The following is an 8,940-nucleotide window of genomic DNA, read 5'->3' as shown; positions in this document are numbered from 1 at the left end:
CGCCCTTCCTCCCCGGCCCCTGTTTCGCTTTCGATTCAGGGGGGACCCGGCGCGCTGGCTCCGCCCTGGCTCCGCCTCTGCTCTTGCGCCCCAAACCCAGGCGGGCGCCCCGGGTCTGCACCCTGCGGCGGAGCGCGCAGACCTCGGACGGGGGAGGCGGCGCGGCCTCTGCAGTCGGTCACATGTCCCCACGCTGCGCGGGGTCCGCGTCTTCACGTCCCTCGTGGGGGCGGGGCCGCATCAGAAGGCCGCGGCGAGGCCCCGCGCCCCCCCACCCAGCGCGCGCTCCCCCAGTTCATCACCCTCCTCTCTGTTCTCCCTCCTTCCCCGGGAATCTGGCGCTCATGAGGACCTGGGCCCTTTTCCTGCCCTGAGTCTCTGTCCTAGCTACGGTCACCTCTCTCAACCTCAGTTTACCCCTCTGTGAAATGGGGAGAATCCTGGTGTCTACACCATGGAGTGGAGTATGTGCCAAGATTCCCGAGTGGATCGCGTAATAGCGCCTGGCTTGCAGTAGGCGTTCAACTAGTCACTGGGCCACCTGCTGTGTGCCCTTGATAGGGGCAGGCAGTGTGTGTGTGGTTGGGGGGAGCGGTGCTTGAGAAAAATACAGATTCTTGGTCTCTAGTAGCCCGGTAGAATCCGGCTGTCTCAGGGATCCAGGGAATCTGCAATGGTTAAGAACCCCGTGGGACGGACAATTCTAACCCAGTACAGGGCACATCAGGGAGCCCTTAGGTGGTGGGGCTCTGGCCCAGCCTGGGGACACAGAGATGGCAACTTCATTGGAGGAGGGGATGCTTTGTAGAGTCACTGAAATTGGAGGTCTTAGCTAGGGGAGGAATAGAGTGGGGAGATGAGGCAGCCGTGCAGAGCCCCCAAAGCAAGACTAAGTCTGGGGTTTTTGGGCAATGGCTTCTCAAGCCCAGCACTCTTGACACTTTGGGCGGCCTAGTTCTTTGTGTGGGGGACTGTCCTGTGTATTGGGGGACATTTAACACCATCCCTGGCCTCCACCCACTAGATGCCAGTGGTTCCCTACTCTCCCTGTTGTGACTACCAAAAACGTCTCCAGAGACTGCCGGATACTCTCTGAGGAGCAAAATAGCATTGTGTTCAACGACTCCAAATTTTTTTCTCCATTGCACACCCCTATAGGTAAAAGTGTTAAAGTTACACCCCCAGATGGATATTTATTCATTTATTTATTTTTTGAGACAAGATCTTGCTCTGTTGCCCAGGCTGGAGTGCAGTGGTTTGATGGTGGCTCACTGCAGCCTCTAACTCCTGGGCTCAAACGATCCTCCTGCCTCAGCCTGCTAAGTAGCTGGGACTACTGGCATATGCCACTATGCCTGGTTAATTTTCTATTTTTTTTGTAGAGACGGGGTCTCACTATGTTGCCCAGGCTGGTCTCAAACTCCTGGCCTCAAAGATGGATATTATTTATAAATTATATACAAATACAATTATATCAATATATTCTGTTAACTGTTATATAAAATATTGATAGATAAATGGAGCTGGGCATGATGGTTCACACCTGTAATGCTAGCACTTTGGGAGGTCAAGGTGGGAGAATCACTGGAGGTCAGGAGTTCAAAACCAGCCTGGGCAACATAGCAAGACCTTGTCTTTAAAAAAAGAAAAAAGAAAAGGAAAAAGTTATTTTTAAAAGACTAAAAAACAAACAATAAAACCCCCCAAATCTAGATATTCTAAAGTTTTTCCAGTTGAACCCCAAAGCTTTGTTTATAGGGTGTATGTACTCCACTCTGGAGACTACTGTATTTGCAAACTACAAGCAGTTCATGATTCCTTGTGGCTGAATGGTGGAATCCTAGGCAGGATGGGGGCTGGAAACTGCACAGAAGACCTGGGATTTTATCCTGAGGGAAGTGGCGAGGTTTGGAGTGGATCGCCTGTCATAGTTGCCAGTTACTAATCTATTTGCCCAGTGCAGAGGGAGGTCATAGCTATGTCCCATTCACTGGCCGAGATGGGCACTGAGTGGGCAGGAAACAGGTAAGAGTCTGAGCTAGCCCTGACATAAATCAGATCTGGTAGGTTTTTTGTTTTTTGATTTTTTTTTTTAGCGCAGAATATGCAGACCAAAGGTCTGTTAGGTTATAATCACCGTGGCAACCACATAGAGCGTGTACTCTGTTCCCAATGCTGTTCCAGGCACTGTGGACATGACAGCAAACAAAACAAAGATCCCTGCCCTCGTAGAGCTAGCATTTTTTTAAATTTGTTTTAAGAGACGGGGTCTCACTCTGTCACCCAGGCTGGCGTGCAGTGGCACAATCATAGCTCCGCTGCAGCCTCAACCTCCTGAGCTCAAGCAATCCTCCGGCCTTGGCCTTCTGAGTAGCTGGGACTGCAGGTATGTGCCACCACATCCGGCTAATTTGTTTGTTATTTTGTTGTTGTTTTGTTTGGGTTTTGTTTTTGTTTTGAGACAGAGTCTTGCTCTGTCACCCAGGTTGCAGTGCAGTGGCACGATCTCGGCTCGCTGCAACCTCTGCCTCCCGGGTTCAGGCAATTCTCCTGCCTCAGCCTCCCGAGTAGTTGGGACTACATGCATGTGCCACCACTCCCGGCTAATTTTTATACTTTTTTGTAGAGCTGGGGGCGGGGGGGTCTCACTATGTTGCCCAGGCTGGTCTTGAACCCCTGGGCTTAAGTGATCCTGTTGCCTTGGCCTCCCAAAATGCTGGGATTTCAGGTGTGAGTCACTGCACCTGGTCCATCCTTATGATTTCATGTGGTCTTTGTAGCTTAGGACTTGAGAAATGGCTTTGCTGCTGGGCTGTTCTGGCTCAGGGCCTCTCAGAAGGTTGCAGTTAAGGAGTTGGTCAGGGCTTCAGTCATCTGAAGGTTTGACGGGGGCTGGCGAATCTGCTTCCAAGGTGGCTCACTCTCAGGGCATGCAGATGGGTGCTATGATTGGCGGGATGCCTCGATTCCTCCCAGTATACTTGAGTGGCATGAGTGTACTCCCAGCATGGGAGCTGGCCTCCCGAGCACCTTCCAAGAGCTGAGAGCCAGGTGGAAGTTGTATCTTTTTATGATCTAGCCTGAAAGTCCCACATCACTTCAGCCACATTATGTACATTAAAAGCTCATTGACTGGGCACAGTGGCTCATGCCTGTAATCTCGGCACTTGGGAAGCCAAGGCAGGAGGATCACTTGAGGCCAGGATTTCGAGGCCATGCTGGGCAACATAGTGAGACCCCATCAGCCAGGCGCGGTGGCTCACTCTTGTAACCCCAGCACTTTACGAGACCAAAGTAGGTGGATCACCTGAGGTCAGGAATTCGAGACCAGCCTGGCTAACATGGAAACCTCATCTCTACTAAAAATACAAAAATTAGCTGGGCGTGGTGGCGGGTACCTGTAATCCCAGCTATTTGGGAGGCTGAGGCAGGAAAATCACTTGAACCCAGGAGGCAGAGGTTGCAGTGAGCCAAGATTATGCCACTGCACTCCAGCCTGGGTGACAGAGCAAGACTCTGTCTCAAAACCAAAACGAAACAAAACAAAACAAAACAAAAAAAGCAGCAAATCTTGACCTGGAACTGGACCCTTGGAGGCTTAAGCTGGGCGACTGTGTTCAATTATGGAGGAAGGCCGGGTGCAGTGGCTCACACCTGTAATCCCAGCACTTTGGGAGGCCCAGGAGGGCAGATCACTTGAGGCCAAGAGTTCGAAACCAGCCTGGCCAACATGGCAAAATCCTGTCTACTAAAAATACAAAAAATAGCCAGGCATGGTGGTGTGTGCCTGTAGTCCCAGCTACTCGGGAGGCTGAGGTGGGGGAATCACTTGAACCCGGGAGGCAGAGGTTGCCGTGAGCCGAGATCGCACAACTACACTCCAGCCTGGGCAATAGAGTGAGACTCCATCTCAAAAAAAAAAAAAAATTGCTGGGCACGGTGGCTCACGCCTGTAATCCCAGCACCTTGGGAGGCTGAGAGCCCAAGGTGGGGATCACCTGAGGTCGGGAGTTCCAGACCAGCCTGACCAACATGGAGAAACCCTGTCTCTACTAAAAATACAAAATTAGCCAGGCATGGTGGCGCATGCCTGTAATCCTAGCTACTCGGGAGGCTGAGGCAGGAGAATTGCTTGAACCCAGGAGGCGGAGGTTGCGGTGAGCCGAGATCGTGCCATTGTACTCCAGCCTGGGCAACAAGAGCAAAACTCCATCTCAAAAAAAAAAAAAAAAAGAAAAGAAAAAAAATATTGTGGAGGAGATGGAGACCATTGGAGCATGTGCATGCTTTTCACAATCTAGTCAATTTCCCACTCCAGTTGAGTCAAATGAAAAATTGATCGGGAATGCTCAGAGCTGGAGAAGCTGTAGGGAAATGAGAAATCTCCCAAATCATTAGAGACAGCATCCGTTGGTGAAACCTTTTGGGAAGGACACCATGGAAAAATCTACTACTAAACTATTAAGCATGCTGGATTAATCATGTCTCTCATTTTCTGTTGCTGTCTTCTTCTTCTCTTTGTCCTTCTCCTTCCTCCTCCTCCTTCCTCCTCCTCCCTCCTCCTCCTTCTCTTCCTCCTCCTCCTCCTCTTATTCTTCTTCCTTTTTTTTGTTTTTGAGATGGAGTCTCGCTCTGTCGCCCAGGCTGGAGTGCAGTGGTGCGATCTCGGCTCACTGCAAGATCCGCCTCCCGGGTTCATGCCATTCTCCTGCCTCAGCCTCCCAAGTAGCTGGAACTACAGGCGCCCACCACCACGCCCAGTTAATTTTTTGTATTTTTAGTAGAGACGGGGTTTCACCGTGTTAACCAGGATGGTCTTGATCTCCTGACCTCATGATCTGCCTGCCTCAGCCTCCCAAAGTGCTGGGATTACAAGCGTGAGCTACTGCGCCTGGCCTTTTTTTTTTTTTTTTTTTTTTTGAGACAGAGTCTTGCTCTGCCACCCAGACTGGAGTGCCGTGTCATCATCATAGCTCACTGCAGCCTTGAATTCCTGGGCTCGAGCGATCCTCCTGCCTCAGCCTCCCAAGTAGCTGTGACGATAGGTGTGCACCATCATGTCAGCTAATTTTATTATTTGTGTAGAGACGGGGTCTCACTATGTTGCCTGGGCTGATCTTGACCTCCTGGGCTCAAGTGATCCTCCCTCCTCGGCCCCCCAAAGCCCTGAGATTACAGGCATGAGCCACTGCACCTGGTTTGAATTTTTCTTGCAACAAGCATCTAATCTATCATTTTGTAGTGAGAAAAAAAAATACCCAATAAGATAAATCCAATTAATTTTCTTTTCTTTTTTCTTTTTTTCTTTTTTTAAGACAGTGTCTTGCTCTGTCGCCCAGGCTGGAGTGCAATGGCGTGCTCTCTGCTCACTGCAACCTCGACCTCCCGGGTTCAAGCGATTCTCCTGGCTTAGCCCCTTGTGAAGCTGGGATTACAGGCACGTGCTGCCACGCCCAGCTAATATTTTGTATCTTTAGTAGAGACAGAGTTTCACCATGTTGGCCAGGTTGGTCTCGAACTCCTGACCTCGTGATCTGCCCACCTCAGCCTCCCAAAGTGCCGGGATTACAGGTATGAGCCATCACGCCCAGCCAATCCAATTAATTTTTAAAAATAACATGTATGAAACCCTGGACACTATCTTTGACAATGATGCCTAACAGGTGAGAAGTAATTTGGGATTTTATAATTTGAGTAGTTCTCAGTAAATGGAACATCCTTTGTAGCACAGAAATCTGTTGTTCGACTTTTGTGAAATCAGTTTCATACATTTTTCCAGGAATACATTATGTGCAAAAGTTGAGGAACCTGTTTAATGGGGCTCTGCTCAAATGAATTTGGTGAGTGGTGAGTGGAGAAATTATAATGGCTAAAATAAATTCCCTGAGTGTATCTGGAGCTCACTGAGTGTCAGGCTGTCTGCAGGTTATGCCCTAGGCCTTAGGATCTTCTGGCTTAGGCATGATTGGCCCTTACAGATGAAGAAACTGAGCCTCCAAGAGATTAAGCAAATCACATGGATACCCAGTTTATAAGTGGTATAGCCAGGATTTGAACTCAGGCCAACTGACTGCAAACTCCTTCAAGCTGGAATTTAGGTTAAGAATTGTAGAGATGAAGGGGGCATGCTTTGGAACCAGACAGTCCTTAACCAACCTTCCTTCCTTCTCTCCTTCCTTCTTTCCTTCCTTCTCCCCTTCCTTCCTTCCTTCCTTCCTTCCTTCCTTCCTTCCTTCCTCCCTCCTTCCCTCCCTCCCTCCCTTCCTCCCTCCCTCCATTCCTTCTTTCCTTCTTTTCTTTCTTTCTTTCTTTTTTTTTTTGAGACAGAGTCTTGCTCTGTCACCCAGGCTGCAGTGCAGTGGTGCAATCTTGGCTCACTGCAACCCCCACCCCATTGGTTCAAGCAATTCCCTGCCCCAGCCTCCTGAGTAGCTGGGATTATAGGCACCCGCCACCATGCCTGGCTAGTTTTTTATATTTTTAATAGAGATAGGGTTTCACCATGTTGGCCAGACTGGTCTCAAACTCCTGACTTCAGGTAATCCTCCCACCTTGGCCTCCCAAAGTGCTGGGATTACAGACGTGAGCCACTGAGCGCAGCCTCTTTTCTTTCCGGTGTTTTTTTTTGTTTTTTTCTTTTTTTTTGACACAGAGTCTTGCTCTGTCGCCTAGGCTGGAGCACAATGGCGTGATCTCACATCACTGCTACTTCCGCCTCCTGGATTCAAGGGATTCTCGTACCTCAGCCTCCCAAGTAGTAGCTGGGATTACAGGCGTGTGCCTCCATGCCCAGCTAATTTTATATCTTTAGTAGAGACAGGGTTTTGCCATGTTGTCCAGGCTGATCTTGAACTCCTGGCCTCAAGGGATCTGCCTGCCTTGGCCTCCCAAAGTGCTGGGATTATAGGCATGAGCCATCACGTCTAGCTGCTTTCTTCTTTTTTTGGGGGTGGGGACTTGCCACATCACCCAGGCTGGAGTGCAGTTCAGCCTTGACCTCCTGGACTCAAGTGATCCTCCCACGTCAGCCTCCCAAAGTGCTGGGACTACAGGTGTGAGCCACCACGCCCACCACTTTGGTTTATCTTGCTTTTCCGAGGGCGTGGCCTGTGGGAAACAGTTCCTCACTCCACTCCAGGGACTGCTGCCACATCTCAGCTCCTGACAGCAGAAACATCCATCATTAATCATTGATCCTACATTCTGGAGGAGAACCAAGGCCAGAAGGCCCCGAGGGAAAGTACTGAGAAAAAGCCAGTCGGGGCCAGGTGTGATGGCTCACGCCTGTAATCCCAGCACTTTGGGAGGCTGAGGCAGGCGGATCACGAGGTCAGGAGTGTTTGAGACCAGCCTGGCCAATATGGCAAAACCCCGTTTCTACTAAAAATATAAAAATTAGCTGGGTGTGGTGGTGCAGGCCTTTAGTCCCAGCTACTCAGGAGGCTGAGGCAGAAGAATCGCTTGAACCCGGGAGGCGGAGGTTGCAGTGAGCCAAGATCAAGCCACTGTACTCCAGCCTGGGCGACAGAGCGAGACTCCATCTCAAAAAAAAAAAAAAAAAAAAAGCCAGTCGGTGCAGACACCAGACCTGTAATTCTGGGATGTGGGATGGACAGACAATGTCCTCTTTCTACTTTACATTTTGGAATTTTAAATTTGCCGATAGCATTCTCTCCCCTCTAAGCATGATACTCTGCCCTTTTTTCCTTTTCTGATTGCAAAAGCAAAGCGTGTTGGACTCCTCCTCCAAAAAGTTACACATTAAGAAGTGTTTGATCCAGAAGGAGGAAGTCCCGGTGTACACACAGTAAGAAACATTACATATTTTTGTCCTTGGCTACTCAAGTGTTTTCCATGTTGAATAGGGGATGCAGGATGTGCACGTTCTGGTTCTGCGGGGAGGAGCGTACGATAAAGGCTTGCGATGGAGTTTCCCACTTTCTTTTCTTCTCTTTCTTTTCTTCCTTTCCTTTCCTTTCCTCCCCTCCCCTCCCCTCCTCTCCCCTCCCCTCTCCTCTCATTTCCTTTCTCACAGAGTCTGGCTTTATTGTCCAGGCTGGAGTGTAGTGGTACAATCTTGGCTCACTGCAACCTCCGCCTCCCAGGTTCAAGGAATTCTCCCATCTCAGCCTCCTGAGTAGCTAGGATTACAGGCGCCCGTCACCATGCCTGGCTAATTATTTTGTATTTTTAGTAGAGTCAGTGTTTCGCCATGTTGGTCAGGCTGGTCTCGAACTCCCGACCTCAGATGATCCACCTGCCTTGGCTTCCCAAAGTGCTGGGATTAGAGGCATGAGCCATCGCGCCCAGTCCCCATTTTCTTTTCTACATGTCTGCCTTTGGGGGAATCTTTTTGTTTTCATGTATCCTAAAAAGATAATAAGGACAGGCCAGGTGTGGCGGCTTCTACCTGTAGTCCCAGCTCCTTGGGGGGCCAAGGCAGGAGGATCACTTGAGTGCAGGAGTTCAGGCTGCAGTGAGCCATGATCATGCCACTGCGCTCCAGCCTAGGTGACAGAGTGAGACCCTGTCTGTGAAAATGAATAAAAACTAAAATTAAAAAAGTAATCAGTATAGCTGGGCGTAGTGGCTCATGCTTGTAATCTCAGCACTTTGGGAGGCTGAGGAGTGGGGAATCACTTGAGTCCAGGAATTCAAGACCAGCAGCTTGGGCAACATAGCAAGAATCCATCTAAAAAAAAAAAAAAAAAGGAAGAAAGAAAGAAAAAGGAGAAACAGTGGAGAAATTTGAAGACTCAATGGGCCAGGCACGGTGGCTCACGCCTGTAATCCCAACACTTTGGGAGGCCGAGGCAGGCAGGGATCACGAGGTCAGGAGATCGAGACCATCCTGGCTAACATGGTGAAACCCCATCTCTACTAAAAATACAAAAAAATTAGTCGGGTGTGGTGGCACGCTTCTGTAGTCCCAGCTACTCT

The 8,940-nt window shown here is 49.7% G+C and overlaps 1 annotated feature.

The window, feature by feature from the left end:
- Positions 71-290: a silencer, noted in NCBI's record as "silent region_10051". NCBI's record gives its function as "represses an Ori minimal core promoter by ATAC-STARR-seq in GM12878 lymphoblastoid cells {active_cell/tissue: GM12878}" and the evidence as "EXISTENCE:reporter gene assay evidence [ECO:0000049][PMID:35858748]".

This window comes from Homo sapiens, chromosome 19 (genome assembly GCF_000001405.40).
Source record: "Homo sapiens chromosome 19, GRCh38.p14 Primary Assembly".
NCBI classification, from domain to species: Eukaryota; Metazoa; Chordata; class Mammalia; order Primates; family Hominidae; genus Homo; species Homo sapiens.
The sequence above is the reverse complement of the archived record's forward strand: the minus strand, read 5'-3'. Positions and strand labels throughout refer to the sequence as shown.